At 40.4% G+C, this 17,699-nt stretch overlaps 1 protein-coding gene across 7 annotated transcripts in view, besides 1 other annotated feature; it reads right to left on the minus strand.

Moving 5' to 3' along the window:
- Positions 1–17,699, minus strand: part of IGF2BP3 (insulin like growth factor 2 mRNA binding protein 3) — a 160,283-nt gene that overhangs the window by 28,431 nt on the left and 114,153 nt on the right. For all 7 annotated transcript variants that reach the window (NM_006547.3, XM_011515089.3, XM_047419782.1 and 4 more), the window contains 5 exons: positions 12,666–12,947; positions 8,961–9,095; positions 7,301–7,423; positions 5,079–5,214; positions 3,425–3,550 (listed from right to left, as the gene is read on the minus strand). In NM_006547.3, coding sequence (NP_006538.2) covers positions 3,425–3,550; positions 5,079–5,214; positions 7,301–7,423; positions 8,961–9,095; positions 12,666–12,947 — 802 coding nt within the window. The remainder of the gene's footprint in view (positions 1–3,424; positions 3,551–5,078; positions 5,215–7,300; positions 7,424–8,960; positions 9,096–12,665; positions 12,948–17,699) is intronic.
- Positions 16,082–16,241: a silencer, noted in NCBI's record as "fragment chr7:23394340-23394499 (GRCh37/hg19 assembly coordinates)". NCBI's record gives its function as "represses an EF-1alpha promoter that drives an FKBP-Casp9 reporter gene in an ReSE screen in K562 erythroleukemia cells {active_cell/tissue: K562}" and the evidence as "EXISTENCE:reporter gene assay evidence [ECO:0000049][PMID:32094911]".

The raw sequence follows: 17,699 nt of genomic DNA on the forward strand, positions 1-17,699 counted from the left end.
GTTAGCCTTGGCTACACATTGGAGTCATCTCGGGAGCTTTCAAAATTGATACCTTTGCCTCACCCCTACCCCCAGGGATTTTCATTCAAATTGTCTGGGATAATTATAATTTAAGTATGGGAAAAACATTTTTTTCCCCTTAAGGCAGGGAATAATTAATGCTGAACTTTACAGATTGTCAATCAATGTAAAATAAGAAATAAAAACAGTAATATATGATTTAGGGAAATATATGATTTGGATAAATGATTTAGGAAAATATTCAGTTATAAAGTTGAGAACTCCATTGTATCACTGCCTGGAACACATGTAGAATAAAATATCCACTGGAATTCTGCAAAGAACACAGATTGTTAAGACTGTCCATGTTGTTGTATTCCTTTAAGAATGCGAATTTCCTTTGCCTGTCCTTGAAACCACCAGACTGTTACATCTTTGCAGCTCTTGCCCTGTGGCAGTGTTTTTACTGTTGGCAGCTTCTGCAACTTCTGTTCTCATTTGCTCCTTCTAATTGCACCTATTTGATTTAGCTTAAATGACAGGAGAAGCAAGATGACCTATTCCAGTGACATCTTCCTTACATTTACTCTTGGCTCAACTTTTATTTAAGTAAACATCACCGACCTCCTCCTCCCATTCTTAAAACAAAACTGCCACTGATTTAAGTCATTCAGACATTTAAGACTGTAGAAGTGCTGGAGAAATATAAGTTCTTAATATGATCTCACTTCTCTCAAAGCATTCTTAATTTTTCTAACATAGGAACCTGATACACAGAACTATACCATAAGTCAGAAAAATGACTAAATCCAGAGAATATGCAGTCTTATCTACATATTTTAAAAATAGTTACCTACAAGTTCACTCTAGGAATTTTGGCTACTGAAGCATCCATGTAAGTGTAAAAGACTGATGTCCAAGAATGTTCTATTCTGTGATCACTTGTAATGTGAAAAGCTTTGTTGATTGGAACATGTCACCAGTATAGAGAGAAAAAAAGAGTTAAAGGGACACCTCAGTTTACAAACTGGGAATGAAACAGAGAGGTTAAGCAACCCACCCAGAGAGAAAGCTAATTTAGGGGAACCAGCAGAAATGTGGGTTAGATGCGAGCTTTCCTAGCACAGAGTTACGTCACATGATCAGCTCATTGTACCTTTTAGTAAGTGTCATTTTATACAGAAGTGTTGGGGACACACCTGCCCTAAACCAATCCTATGACACACACATAAACTAGTGGACATGTTCAAAGTTAAGTCCCTAGATGTACTCTCAGATTCCTATTTTAGGCTCATTCTCCCCTATTCCTCCTTAAACCTTTCATATTATTTAATTCTGTAGAAACTAGAAATGTGTGACCTTAAAGGCTTTAGACACAATTCTTATAGTTCAGGTTTTTTTTATTATACAGGTGAGAAAACAAATCCAGAGCCAAGGAGTCTGACCTTCAGTGACACAAAATTGTGTCAGAGGCAGTGGGCCAGACCTGGGCTCTGACTCCAGGGTTCTTTCTACCAGTCCCCTTTAGCATCAAAGTAAAAACATGCCAGCCACTTCAGGGGGCACGTAATGAATCTATGCACACTTCACTTGTAGCTGAAATTTTGATGGCTATCATTCTGTTACATGATTTCCAGGCCAAAACATACTAGAAACGGCAGGTGAATTGCAGGGGAGACAAGATGCTGCTGACAGTAAAGGCAGAAACACACACGGCAGGAGGGCAACTGCTTAGAACCCCAATCAGTTTGGTGGGTTCAAGGACAGGAAAAGGAAATTTTCATTTTTAAAAGGATAAAAGGGGGACAATCTGAGCCATCTGTATTTTCTGTACAATTTCAATGTCATTTTACTCTACATATTTATTCTAGGTAGTAATACAGTGGAATCACCAACCTATTCCACCTGGACATTTCCCCAAATTGGTGTAAGAGGTATCACTCAAAATATTAATATTAAGTAAGTGAGCCAAACAAAAAGGGAGAGATGTCAAAACAAATTCATGAAGGAAGATCCTAGAATGTCACATGAATACCTCCGATTATCGATAATGCAACTGAATTATTAACTACTTTCAAAATAATTTATTCCATCAGGTGTCTGCTGTGCTGCGATTATTTTCATACCATCACTAGTCTCCTATTTCTGACCTCAAGGAAACTGCTATTCTTAAAAAGCAAGTATAAAATATTTCTTTCTTTTTCTTTTTCTTTTTTTTTTTTTTTTCCCAGACAGAGTTTCGCTCTGTCGCCCAGGCTGGAGTGCAATGGCGCAATCTCAGCTCACTACCACCTCTGCCTCCTGGGTTCAAGCGATTCTCCTGCCTCAGCCTCCCAAGTAGCTGGGATTACAGGCACCTGCCACCACTCCGGCTAATTTTTTGTATTTTTAGTAGAGATGGGGTTTCACCATGTTGGCCAGGCTGGTCTTGAACTCCTGACCTCGGGTGATCCTCCCGCCTCGGCCTCCCAAAGTGCTGGGATTACAGGTGTGAGCCATGGCACTTGGCCTAAGATTTATTTCTTATATAACCTACCTCTTTACAAAATAAACATCTGCTTAATGTATGCACGCACACACACAATATAATTGTGCACAAAACTATCTTATCTCTTTGGTTTAAAAAAGTACACTCAACATGGAAAACACACAGAGTCACTCCTGACCTTTCAAAGCCATTGACTTCAGGTGACAAAGATGAAAGAAGCCTTTAAAAAATCTTTTCCTTTAGTATTTAATAATTACTGGCCAGGTAATAGCTCACGCCTATAACCCCAGCACTTTGAGAGGCCGAGGCAGGCAGACCACTGGAGGCCAGGAGTTTGAGATCAGCCTGAACAACATGGCGAAACCCTGTCTCTACTAAAAATACAAAAAAAGTAGCCGGGTGTGGTGTGGCACACACCTGTAATCCCAGTTACTCAGGAGGCTGAGGCATGAGAATCATTTGAACCCGGGAGGTGAAGGTTGCAGTGAGTCAAGATTGTGCCACTGCATTCCAGCCTGGGCGAAAGAGTGGGACTGTGTCTCCAAAAACTTTTAAATAACCACCATGGCACATGTATACCTATGTAACAAACCTGCACATTCTGCACATGTATCCGAGAACTTAGAATAAAAAAAAAAGAAAAAAGAAAAAAGAAAAAAAATTTTTTTAAATAAGAAAAACAATTACTAAGTTTCTTCCCCTGCCACCTCAAAGTCCCAAACTTTTGTTGTGATATTTGAAAACACATGTTGACAACCCCGCTATCCAAAAACTGCAAAATAATCCCATGTCTACTCCACAAAGGGCCAAATAAGAAGGCTCCATTAGCAAGAACTGGAGAGCATATGTTGGCATCTAAACAGATGATCACGCGGGGACTAGGTTTACATTAAGATTTTGCCCAATCACAAAGAAAGCCAAGGCCAGTTATCTTACCTCAAACTGCGGGTAGGGAGGAGTCATGGCTGAAGGGGGCCCTGAGGTGGGAGGTGGCATCCCTGAAGTGGGTGGGAACAGACCCAAGGCGTTCAGATTTAATCCAGGAATTAAATGTGCTTGAAGCTGCAACAGTAAAAAGGCCCCTTAATTTGACAATTAAAAGAATCAAGGGAAAGTGAGCATTTTTAAGTGACAGTATTCAAACTGATCTCTTGTCTAATAAAGAAATGATTGTATAACTCAAAGCAGATGTTCCATGGGACTCTACTTGAGTACATCGTTTACATCTGTTTATATCCCTTGGTATTTTAAAATCTGTGTGCTGGTTTGCCCCCTCCTTGGTCCACAGCTGCATTAAGATATCTCAAGGGAAGCTTTCCTTTCCCTTATGACTAGCCCACAGGACTTAGACAAAACCGTATTCTGCATGCTGTGGGCAAACTAAATATAGACAAAAAGCAATGTATCAGAGTTGAAGAGGTAATCAAGTAAGATTGGTTCATTGAAAAGCAAACCAGCTATTAAGAGATCTTTACTTGCTGGGTAAAACTTAGCAACCATGGGTCTAGAGGCCTCAAAGTTGAGCCCTCTGGAAATCAGGACCCATCCCCATGTAACTACTGCAAGTAAACATATCACTGGAATGGAAATAGGAGCCAGAAAGGGTATTTTAATTTGTTTAATTTTATAAGGGTTGAGGACGTAATGTAGACGGTGGAAGGGAGATTTGAGTGTACTTGAAAATCTTTTTAAAAGGCCTAAGGGGGTTAGATTTAATCCCAGTTGATTCCAGAACATTTGGAGCCAAGCAGTGAGAATTGAAGCAGGTTGGCAAGAAGTCACGTGGGGTGTAAAATGGCTAGCATTCTAGGCTCTTCTCACAAACGCAGTATTTGCACATTTCCCTCGTCTCAGGTTTTGTGTTTCAGATGACTGGCCCAATTGAAAAAAAATTATTTTTTAAAGTCATTTACTTTAAAATTTAAGACAGGCTTTTGAAGTATTCCATTTTCAGCACCATTTCACTGATTAAGGAATGTCAGCAATTTGCTTTAATAGCCTCAGATGCACTACACAGATTGTTTTATCAATTGAAATTCTTGTATCTCCAAGGTTTATATGGCTAACCAAGTTTTAAACCTGTAATCTTAACATTAACTTTTATATGCATTATATCTATTGTAATCCTAATAAGAATGCAAGGTAGGCAGTAGTCCCATTTTACAGATGAGTAAACTGAGCCTCAGAGAGACTGAGTAAATCATATAAGAGAAGAGAGCTGCAGCTCATAAATGGTTCAGCTGTGATTCAAATCCAGTTCATGTAACATTTCTTCTATATTAAACTCTCTCAAATTAACATTGTAAGAGAGGTACTATATTAACCTTTGTAGGTAGACACTAGCCTTACTTCAGACAGAAGGAAGCTAAGGCTCAAAGACTGAATAATTTGCTAAAGTCACAGAGACAGCAAAGCTTAATGTCAAAGCCAGTATCTTCCCTACTATCCCAGGGTACTTGCTGAGGTGCTAAAAATCAACTAGAACTACTTCTAGTGATAATGCCACAAAAGAATTCAATATTAATGCAGTTAAAAACATTGTTTTAACTATTTGTTAAAATAAAGACATGCCCTTCATAACAAAACTAACATTCATAGAAGCAATATCATTTTCATAAGACTCCCTGATTTTCTTCATGATCTCCTCCTCAGCTTTGGCACATGTCTCAACATTGCCTTTAACTGTAATAGTGCGTTCTGGATTATACAGCGTCAATTCCTGCAATCTGCAGAATGAAAAAGAAGGGAAAGAAAAAGAATGAAAATTGGAGGAAGACAGCTAATAATTCAGCCACAGACGGCAATTAAAAACAAACTGTGGAGCCTGGTAATATGTAAAAGTGGGTGGTAAAACATGATGGGAAATGAGTAAGCCCCAAAAGACGTAAATCCGAAACTGTAAAGCTGCAAGAGAGAAGAAAATATTTGCCCTCCCATTTTCTCAACTAACGATTACTGGATACATATAGTTCAATCAAGTCCATATTTTAAATAAAGCTTACTTCTCAACCGCTTAAAGTTGAACCATTTTCACAATTGAACAGTGAATTAAAAAATGACTGGAAAGATGTATAGTTTTTGAGGAAACCAAATACCCTAAGTACATAACCTTTCATAAGTATGTTCCTAGTCTGTATTAACCAATTCTAGGCATAATTGGCATTCTCGTGCAATTGCATTTTCTGGGTCACCAAGCAAGGAGAAAGCATGGAAATATTCCAAAAACACAAGCCAGAATTCCTGTGTCTAAACTTAGTTTTTACCAGTTTCTTTAGAATTTAGATTGAAGTAGGCTGGAGGAATATCAATCCATCTTGACTAAAATTTAAAATGGTTCACCGATGCCATTTAGATAACAAAAACGTTAGATAGTGGCAGAAATATTCAGAAACTCCCTGCGGGACCTAGGTCCTGCTGAACCTTCAAAAGCCACTGAATATCATACCTGAAAACACCTAAGCCTATGCTGGTCAACAGCCTTGAGAGGAAAAGCAATGGGAGACATGTGCCATGGAAAACAGAACTAAGTACATAAATTGAGAGGATATGGATTATTGGTACAAATCTCCTTCATCTTCCTGAAGTTCTCATTTTCACTACTAGTATAATGTCACAGGCTAACCTTGAGCCAGATGAATGGGAAGTTATTCCTTAACATTTTCCTCAAACTTGTTAAAAATGTAAACATTTGTATAATGAAGACTATTTCTCTTAGACTACTTTAAAAAGAAGTCTATAATTCTAATTCAGTCTCAACCTGGCCCTGCCAAGCATTTTGTATTACAGTTTTAAAAATAGCTGCTTCTAGAATAACTTTTGAGATTTTTTTCTTTTAAAACTCTCCCCTTTCTGGGGGTAAATTTAAGACAAAGTAGTATTACTTATTGAATTTACCACTTTGTGGGGTTTTTTTCCCCCTTTCTTTACAACCAAACAGAAGTTTCCTGCTTCCTTACTACCTCCTTTGAAAACTCCTTGTACACAAACACCGTGCAGTCTTTCCCCTACCACTCTTCCTCAGTTCATCAATCTTTTCCCACCTTTTTGAGTACTCTGAGTGAAACTAAGAATGGCCACCCTCAGAAAAACCTTTCCACGTAATTTCAGAGCATCCACAGATTCTAAGTGTGGTAGCCTGCCTCCAAGGTGATTCCTGTCACCCAGTTATCTGTAGTCCCACACATACATACCAAATAGGGCTGACTTGTGTAAACAACATTAGAAAAATGATAGAGTATAACTTCTGAGGCTATGTCATAAAAGACATTGCAGTTTCCATCTTGACAGCTGCCATGTCTTGAGAACACTCAAGCAGCTCTGTGGAGAAGCCCATGTGGGAGGAACTGAGGCCTTCTGCCAACAGCCAGCATCAACTTGTCAGCAGCATTGTGAGACCCCAAGCCAGAACCACCCAGCTAAGCTGCTCCTGCATTCCTAACCCACAAAAACTAGCTGAGCAATTAATGTTCACATTGTGTTAAGCTGTCAAATGTTGGGATAATGCGTTACACGACAATGGATAATAAACTGGGTTATATATTCCAACTTTGGGAATAAATGTCATAAAACATAGTTAAGACTGCTTTAGAAAACATGAATGTAAAGCATTTGGTTCCTCCTGCCAGAAGCAGATAATGCTTTCAATACGGGTCAGAAACCTAACAGGCAGCAAGCTGTATTTGAGAAACCATGTGTAAGTACGGCAGCACAGGCTAGCTGAAGCAGCTGTAAAGTGGGAAGCTAAGCCCAATACACAACATGCAGCTTACAGTGTTGGAAAGTTTTCTTATTCAAAAGCAAAGGAGCACTCACGGAGATATCGTGATTTTAGTGTCTGTGTCTTGCTCAATTTTTTTAAGATTTCTTCCTTCTTTACCAATAAGACGTCCAACAAAGTTATTATGAGCTAAAATCTTCAAGGGGATCTCTTCTGTGCTGTAAATAGAAAAGTGGCCATAAAATTAGAATAAGTAAACCTATTCGTGGGTAAAAAGACAATATTCACTCATTAAACATTTACTTCCTACCTACCATCTGGGAAGCACTGTGTTAGGTACAGCTTAAAACTTGCTGACAATTGGCCAGCATTCTAGCAATGCATGAATAGAAGGGGAGAAAAAATACAGAAGTTAACTTCTAAAATAGTTCTTATTTTATTCACTTCAGGAAATATCTTCAGTGATGGAGTCTCTTACTCAAAACCATATTCCTAAACCCCTACTACCAGAACACAACGTACAAATAAAAAACAGTACCATCCAGTACAAATATACACCTGGAGATATGTGCATAATTTATAGAAGGAAACAGAAGAAACAACAGTGGTTACACTTTGGGGGAAGGGCATAAGAACAGGAAGGGGAGCTTTCACTTTTCATTTTGTAGCTTTCTGAATTTCCCAGTCATATATATATAAAACTGTTTAAAATGTCATTGTGGTTAATAGATGGTGGGCTTTTCCTTTTTCTTTCTTTTTTTTTTTTTGAGACAGAGTCTCCCTCTGGCGCCAGGCAGGCGTGCAGTGGCGCGATCTCGGCTCACTGCAACCTCCGCCTCCCGGGTTCAAGCCATTCTCCTGCCTCAGCCTCCCAAGTGGCTGGGACTACAGGCACATGCCACCACGCTCATCTAATTCTTGTATTTTCAGTAGAGACGGGGTTTCACCATGTTGGCCAGGATGGTCTTGATCTCTTGACCTCATGATCCACCCGCCTCGGCCTCCCAAAGTGCTGGGATTACAGGCATGAGTCGCCACACCAGGCCTATTTTTCTCTATACTAAAATAATTCTTCTTTAAAATTTTTACTTTAATAATTACATTCTTATGATATGGCACCCACATATAATATTACTAAAACATATTTAAAGTTCTCTACAAATTAAGGTTGGTAATGAGGTCCCCACACTAACTCCAGTGCCTTACTCTCGATTCTACTTTCAGTGCAGCGCTGTTCTGTACGCTAAACGTGGCACAGAACCCAACCTTCACTCAAAGTTCCTGTGGAAGAAATAGAGTTCCCGCCTGCATTACCCAGATAAATCTCCAGTTTGCCTTAGAAGAGACTTAGGCACTTCCCCACCTCCACACTCCCTGCTGCTCCAAGGTGGGGCCAGGCAGTGGACAAGAACAGAGCTCCAATGAGCTCCGAGTAAAGGATGAGTCAAGATTTGGGGCTCCTGTTTTGGGTTAATCCAGGATACCTCCTGGTCCTAGGTTCCCCAAGTTGCCTTCTTCTATAGCTGCATTTCTCTTCCCCGTTATCACCACTCGCCTATGTTCAAATGTGAATGAAAATATTTAAATATTAAAAGACATACACTTCACAACCAGATCAACAGTGCCAACCACTGTAGCTCATCAGGATATCATTTCCCTCTGTTTGTTGGCAATTCCCAAGAATTGTGTCAGAGATGTCAAAAATACAAGAGCACAAATATCAACCTCTTTCACAGGACAATCTTCTTTACTCACAATTTTATATCTTGAGCTTCCTTATGCATAATCTCCAGAATAGACTTACAAGCCGCAGAGGTGCCTTCAGGAGTAGAGAGGATAGTAATCGACTTCTCAGCAGCCCCCGCATTTTCTTTACGGTGGACATCGATTCTGATAGTGGGCGCAAGCAGAGAGGAAAACGAGAGCAGTAAGCGTGTATTCACAGTGGAGTCTGTAATTACCAAATGCAAAGTCATAGGGCTTCAGGGCAAAGCAGATGACTCACTTCCCTCAAGAGCATAAACTTTCAATAAGCTGTCAACATTAATGCCTTAAGAGGCAAATTTTAATTCTAGGAACATTCCCCTTTCTCTTTCCTCAATCCAACCAAGCGGGGACATCTTTTCATTCTACCCAAGCTGTTTGTGCTTACAGCTTCCTTTCAGATGCCACAGAACAAATGTCTCATGACAAAGAGCCTGGATTCAATCTGCTCTAAAACAAATAGGAACTGGAGGGCATGCCAAGAGAGGAGTTGGAATCCCATAAGCCAAGTTGAACTGCTTATTCTGCACAGTATATCATTCTTCATTCATTGGATGAGCAGATTTCACCAATCTGCTTCCCCTTTGCAAGGTTCTTCCCACATTTTGCCTCCTTGATAGAGGAAAGTCTGCAACGAACAGTGATAGGAATGGAACCTGGACAGATGGCAATTCTACTTCAAGAAAAGCAAGTGGCCAATAAACTCAAAATGATGTTTAATTTCACTAGTAATTATATGTCTGCCAGCTAAAAGAATGTCATTTTCTTCTAGACTTGCAAAAATTGAGATAGAAAAAATTAAATATGGGCAAGATGATGGGTAACAAGGCACACTCAACACTTTTGGTAGGAGCAAACTGGTCAGCAAAATGCTGAGCACCTTGTGACTCAAGAACTGTATTTCTTGTAACATCTACTCCTGGTAACATCTACAGATATAGTCTCATACATGGGTCAAGAGTGATGTTTCTTACCCTTGGCACTACTGACTTTTTGGGCCAGATTCTTTGTTGTGGATGGGGTGTCTTGTGCATTGTAGGAAATTTACTAACTTCCCTGGCCTGTACCTACTAGATGCTAGTAGCATGCCTCTCTCTCAACTCTAACAGCTAAAAATGTCTCCAGACATTGCCAAATGTCTACGGGGGTTGGGGCAGAGAGATGATCATTTGTAGTTGAGAACCACTGGCATGGGAAAGTTCCGTTTCTAACAGATAGAAAATTAGAATTATCTAATTGCGGGAAGAGATGGTTAAATAACAGTATATTCATATCATACAGATGTTTTTGAAAATGTGGTAAAATTACAAGTACCAACACAGTAAAAAGTCCTTAAGTGAAATAATGCAATTCACATCATGACATGATTTCTTTTTTAAAGTCACACATGTTAGTAGATACAGGCAACAAATCCTATAGAGATACATCCCCAACTTACCAACAGCTACCCAGGTGAGACGAATGGTAACTTTTTAATTTACATATTTATATGTTTTGAATTAAATATAAAATAAGCCTGCCATTTTTTAATAAGTACAAGAAAGAAAATTAGCTACTCAAAAATATGTGTTTTTGGGAAAATTAAGTATTTGTTGAGTTCCTTTGGCCATTCAAACACTTAAAGGGCTAAATAACTCATGGCCATGAGAGTGACCACTTGATCATGCCAATAAAATCAAGATTTGGCTTTCATTTTCCTAAATGTTTGGTTGAAATCTGAAGATTTACCTCAAGAGTAAAAGATAAAACTAAAAATAAGGGCATGAAACAAATTAAGGGCTACCTAAAAATAACTAATAAAAAAATAGTGTCTTAGATAACAGTCCCAATCTTAGGAGTCATCTTCCCGGCTGCTGTTTCAATCCCCAGTCACTTTCAGGGATGCCTGTCTTCCAGCAACACATTAGCATCCCTCTTTGCAGTTTATTTTCACCCTTTCACTGTGCTAAGGATTACTAAGCTCCGATCCCCTGAGAGAAAGGAATGTGGCTTTGGAGATTAGAATGGCCCTCTGAGACCATTCCAGAAACGAGGTTCTGATAATGACTAATTTCAATGTCAAGAGTTAATTAAATCCACTGGCAGAGCTCTGCAAATGAATCATCGGATATAACAAAAATTGCTTCCCTTCCCCTATCCCCATCTTCCTGCCTTAAGTAAAACAAACAGTTCAATTTAAGTCACAGCTCTTTCATCTGACAGGGAAATGAGTAGCTCGAAAAGGAACAATTCTAATCTGCTACATGAGAAGGAAGGGAAGCCATATAATGAATTTCTGCAGGTAACGGTGGATCAAGGGAAGCAAGAAGCCCTTAAATTTTAAGATTAAAGCCAGGCCGACTGACTAGGTTATGGTCCAGTTGTCTTTCCCACTCCTACATGATGAGGTCAGGGCGATTAATTTTGCATTCAGGTAACCAGCACCCAACATCTCCTGCTTCAAAGCAGGGGAAGGCAGGATCAGATGCCACTGCAGGGAGCAGGTGGGTATGGACCACCACTCAGTACAGTTCTTTTTGGTTCTACATGAGAAATGGGTCAGCTAGTCCAATGCAGGCATGGTGCCTATGATGAACATGCATGTCCTCTTAGGCCTGCTGGAACAAACACATAAAGTATACACAGCAGTGCAGTTCTAACTTTTAGAGAAAGATTAAGCTTATTTCGTTGGATCACACTGAAAAAAAAGAATTCTCCTTTCTAAATTTAAAAGGAAAAATAATCTTGCCACTTCTGTAGCTGGCTCAAGGCTTGCACAATGGTATTTTTGGATACAACCTCTTCTTCCCAGCACACTCACAGGTTCTTCAGGAAATACAGTAGTAACAGGATGTGCCTCGTAGCACGTTACGGAGCTAGGTATGGGGGGAAGAGTTTGTCACCAAGCTTCTTTGGGTCAAAAAATATCCACATACTGTACAACAGTATGGTTTCTAAAGCAAAACAACATATAATGCATGAGAACTGAGAAGTATCTTAGATACACATGAAAGGCTTCAAACATAATTCACATACAGTCATTTTAGTCATTTGACAAATAAAAGATCCTTCTATGTAGCAGGGCCCTGGCCTTGGCCCTGGGGCTACAGTAGTGAATAAAACAAATAGTTCCCGCTTTCTGCTCCTGATAATTAGCTCCAACATTTGAATGGGAATATTCCAATCCCTTAAATCCCACCAATTAAAACCATCAAAAAATATCCAGAAGAAAAAGCCATTCTAATTACATGGCTTAATCAGAGGAAAAATTCGGACAAATAAGATGAGCGATTCTTTATTCGAGTAAGGCAAGACTGAAAAACCACCTCTGTATTGAGGCCACAAATAAAATGGATTGGACCCAGAAAATTACTTCCAAAAACAATGAGGGCAGGTGGGGGGTAAGGGGTGGGACAGAGGACAACCTGGAAGCTGCCTTTCTGTCTTCCAGAGCTTCCCCAACCAGAAGAGGATTAGGTATCATTTGTTTTCCATTCATGTGTGAAAATCTGACGTTCCCTTTGAGAATGAGGATTAGCTCCAGATTTATATGAAATGAACACCAAGATACTGCAAGATTTTTACACATTCCCAAGTACTGTACAAGGAGTCCTCATGGCTGTGTTCAGAAGGGCACCAAGTACCAGAACGACACACTGTTACTAAGATTCCAAGGGGAATTCTCATGAACACCCACCACACACTCAGCATACTCACTTAGACTGGGTCTGTTTGGTGATGTTCCGAATGGTGGCACCTTCTTTTCCTATGATGGCTCCAACAAATTGGGTGGGAACCAGCAGGCGCAGAGGCAAATCACATGGTTTCTGCTTGGATACGGATCCTGGAGACCCCTGCCTTGAGGAGCCCCTCTGCCCAAGCCCCCGGCGACCTCGGGGCTGCTGCAAGGGGTTTTGCTGGGCGGCCATTTCATCAGGGATATAGGCTACTTTCAAGGTGAAATTCTCTAACTGAAATCCATTCAGTTTGTCTAGTGCTCTGAAAGTTGAAAAGGGGCAGGGGTGGGAAAAGGAATCAGGCTATATGACACATCTTTTAGCAAAGCAACACCCATCTCTTCTACTCAGCATTACTAGCTCTAAACTTCTGAGTGAAGCCCCAGCACAAGCAGCAAACCCGCAACACACATAATCCTCCCCTCTCCCACCCCGCACCACCACCACCCACACACATTTTCCTTTGAGACAGGCACAGTGGGGAAAAAGACCACAAGTTTCCAAAGGGAACCTATGTGCCATCTCCTAATGAAAAATAGAAAAACAAAAAACATTTTGTCAAACTCTTGGTTAAGTTTAACCCATAAGGTTACTAACGGTTTAGGAATAGCTAAGCAGCAAGAGAGAAGCAAGTGGGCTTCTTGCCTTGGCTAATGTTTCCAAACCACAGTGGAAGAGACATCAGAAATATATACTTCCTTCACTTCAGCCTCTAAAATATGAAGTATTTAAAACCATTTTAAGAACCAGTGGACAAATATCTCTAAACCATTTACAAGAGACTATTCTGAGTATTAAATTCTACCAATCACACTCAGTACCTATTATGAGCCAGTCCCTGACTTTGTGGTTTACGATCTGATTTGGAGCAAAGAGGCAGGGGTGGTGATAAACCAAAAAAAAGAGTGTGCCCATTCTACCACACTATTTGGGGGAGAGTTTCTCTCTTTTTCATTTTTTTTTTTTTTTTTTTTTTTTTTTGGAGACAGAGTCTTGCTCTGTTACCCAGGCTGGAGCGCAATAGAGCCATCTTGGCTCACTGCAACCTCTGCCTCCGGGGTTCAAGAGATTCTTGTGCCTCAGCCTCCCAAGTAACTGGGATTATAGGCATGCACCATCATGCTTGGCTAATTTTTGTATTTTTAGTAGAGATGGGGTTTCACCATGTTGGCCAGGCTGGTTTTCAACTCCTGACCTCAAGTGATCTGCTGCATTGGCCTCCCAAAGTGCTGGGATTACAGGCATGAGCTACTGTACCCAGCCTCTTTTTCATTCTTGATCTTTATTTTAACATGCAAGGAAAAGTGCCCAAATCTTGAGCATAAATTTCAGTGAATTTTCACAAGGTGAACACACACATCCAGATCCAGAACTAGAACACACCAGGGCCCCGGAAGCCCCAACAGTACCTGCTTCCGGTAGTCACTGCCCCCCTACCCCTTGCAGACTTCTAATACCATAGATTAATTCTGCCTATTTAAAAATTTTATGTAAATATATATGAGTATACATGATATGTATTTTCTCATATCTGGAAACTTTTAATTTATTGTAATATTCATCCAAATTGTTGTGTTCTGTTTTCTGGGGTTTTTTGTTTGTTTGTTTTGCTTTGTTTTGTATTCATTTTGTGTGTGTGTGTTATGTTTTCAGAAGGGAAAATAATAAACTAGTAGAGACGAAATAGCCCAGATTTCATAAACATACACCTAACAATACATCCCTTTTTAACTCCCCAGTGCACAACAAAATGAAAAACAAAAAGAAAGAAGTCCCCACACTTCCCAGTGTCACTCAGGTTCTTTGCTCAGATTCTGTTCCAATGGCCCTGAGTTCACCCCAGGTGGGAAAGAAAAACAGGCATAAAATGGTCTCTTTCTAGTTGCTTGGTGTGGTCATTTCCGGCTTATACACTGCTTTATTTGCAAATCTACTCTCAATTCTTAAATAGAAAAAAGGGGGTGGAGTGGGTGACAGTTCTAGTACCAAAAAGGTCACTGAGGGCTAGGACCTGGAAGGCAGACCTGGGCAAGCAGACAGAGGGCTCGCTGACATTCTCCGGCCCAGAATGATTCTCGGTTTCTCACTTCAGTCTTCTATCACTGTCCTACCTTCTCTGGCACATGAATGAACTCTTATTGTAAAAGATCAGTCATGCAGAAAGTAGCAAGAGGTTGCTCTGGCACCGTCACCAACCCTCCAAGGCCCTTCCCAGAACTGCTGCTCACTGCAGTACTTCTACAAATGGACCAGTCCTTTCTATATGTTTACAAACACATGTATTCATATTCGGTTCCTTCATTAAAAGCATAATTGGGGTTGTGATGTACACTGCTCTGTGGCTTGTTTTTAAATACAATGTCTTGCGATATTTCCATGTGATTTCTATGTCAGAGGGCATTCTTTTCATAAGCTTCAGAGGATGATAGCTGACACATGCCACACTTATTTTGCCAATGCCTTGATGACAGAACGTTAAGTTAACGCTGTACTTTCCTCCTGTCCCCTTTTTTTCTTAAGGGAATGTGGATTAAGGGACCTAAAATATTTTGGTTATTTCTAAAGGAAGACGACAGCTGATATATTTTAATATTTATGGTGTATATTTGTTATAAAAAGTTGGAGATGCAGAAGAGTCAACCAACTACAGATTCTTTCAAAACAGCTTTATTTATTTATTTTTTTTGAAATGGACTTTCGTTCTTGTTGCCCAGGCTGGAGCACAGTGGTGCGATCTTGGCTCACTGCAACCTCCACCTCCTGGTTTCAAGCAATTCTCCTGCCTCGGCCTCCTGAGTAGCTGGGATTACAGGCGCACGCCACCACCCTCAGCTAATTTTTGTATTTTTAGTAGAGATGGGTTTTGCTATGTTGGCCAGGCTGGTCTTGAACTCTTGACCTCAGGTGATCCACCCACCTCGGCCTCCCAAAGTGCTGGGATTACAGGAGTGAGCCACCACACCTGACCTTAAATGTTTTTAAAGTCGGGAATAAACAGATCACTGAAGGTTCTTTCAAAAAATCAGGAAACTTGAACCCACTGAAGGCATCAATTACATCTAGGCATAAAAGGTAATCTAGGCTTTTTCATTATAAATGGCGTATTGCCAGCTTCAGAAGAGAGTAAGTATATTTTGACTAGTAAATTAAGTCATTAATGTTACAAAAATGGTAGATAACTCTCTTCTTGAGTGAGATAGACACATACAGATATCATTCTCCCTGGGGTAAAAGGTACACACGTCAGTTACCAGATGCTTCTATATTCTAGAACCATCTAAATAGTCACATGTATCACAAGAAACAACTTTATAACTTGGCAAAAACTAACTTCTAACTTTTATTGTGCTGCTTTAAAAAGATTTTTCTTTGTGGGGAAAAGAAAAGATTCTCTCACTGAAGAGGTCAGGTGGCCCGGGGCTCTAGTCCCCAGTGTACCTTCTGGGCCCCAATGGCTCCAAACTCAGGCTGTTCCAGGCAGAATGCAGACAGCCACTACTGTGTGTACCTGACTGTCTAATTGCCATCTAAGCAGAGTTCCTAACCCCTCAAACCACAGTGCTCCATCCACAGTCAGACACAGCTGAAAAGGTACAGGAGGAACCTAACATGCAGAATGGCGGCTTTCTCATGATTGCAGCTCCTAAATTACTGAATTTAAGTCAACTACTAGAATCTTTCTAGGCACAAAGTTTGTTATTCATCTATGTCATATGGTGATCTGCTGAGTTCACGAGGAAAAAAAATTTTAGTATTTTCACCAAACCCACCGTAGATGCAAGACATGAGATGAACGACTGTCATAATTATTTGACACATATGTATTCAGTTAAACAGAACTTAAAGATGTTTATCCAACATGTATATTACTCAGGAGCCTGGTTTTGTCTTTTTATTTTTATTTTTTTTTTTTTTGAGACAGAGTCTCACTTTTTTGCCCAGGCTGGAGCGCAATGACGCGATCTCGGCTCACTGCTGCAACCTCCACCTCCTTGGTTTGAGCAATTCTCCTTCCTCCTCCCAAGTAGCTGGGATTACAGGCGTGTACCACCACACCCAGCTAATTTTGTATTTTTTTTTCTTTTAACTAGAGACGGGGTTTCACCATGTTGGTCAGGCTGGTCTCGAACTCCTGACCTCAAGTGATCTACCTGCCTCAGCCTCCCAAAGTGCTTGGATTACAAGTGTGAGCCACAGCGCCAGACCAGGATCCTGTCATCATTACTTAACTCTTTGCTCTTGGTGCTATTTTAAGGGTCGCTGAGAAGATGATGAGTAATTTTGCCAGTTGGTAGAATTTAAATGTATTGATAAGAAGTTTACTGGGGCCAGGTGCAGTGGCTCATGCCTGTAATCCCAACACTTCGGGAGACCAAGATGGGTGGATCACTTGAGGTCAGGAGTTCAAGACCAGCTTGGACAATATGACAAAACTCTGTCTCTACTAAAAGTACAAAAATTAGCCAGGCATGGTGGCGTGAGCCTATAATTCCAGCTACTTGGAAGGCTGAGGCATGAGAATTGCTTGAATCTGGGAGGCGGAGGTTGCAGTGAGCCAAGATTGCCCCACTGCACCCCAGCCTAGGTGATGAAATGAGACTTTGTCTCCAAAAAAAAAAAAAAAAATTGTTCATTGGGGTAGATCACAATTTAGAGCTGAATGGGCCTCAATAGAGACAATAAATAGTTCAACTTGAGGAAGAGGGGGAAAGAGAAAGAAAAAAGGAGAAGAAATGAGACCCAGACAAGTTAAACGTACCCAGGAGTCCACACATACAGATCTGAATAGTGGAAAAAGAATACGGACTAGAGACCAGAATTCTAGTCCAGCTTGAACATTAAATAACCACGTTATCCTCCAAAGGTCATTTTCCTTTTTGGCATTAGCCATCTCCCTATAAAACTAAAAGATTAGATTCATGGTCCCTTTCAGCTCTAAAATTTCATGCCTGGCTGGGTGCAGGAGCTCACACCTCTAATTCTAGCACTCTGGGAGGCCAAGGAGGGAGGATCA

This window comes from Homo sapiens, chromosome 7 (genome assembly GCF_000001405.40).
Source record: "Homo sapiens chromosome 7, GRCh38.p14 Primary Assembly".
Classification (NCBI taxonomy): domain Eukaryota; kingdom Metazoa; phylum Chordata; class Mammalia; order Primates; family Hominidae; genus Homo; species Homo sapiens.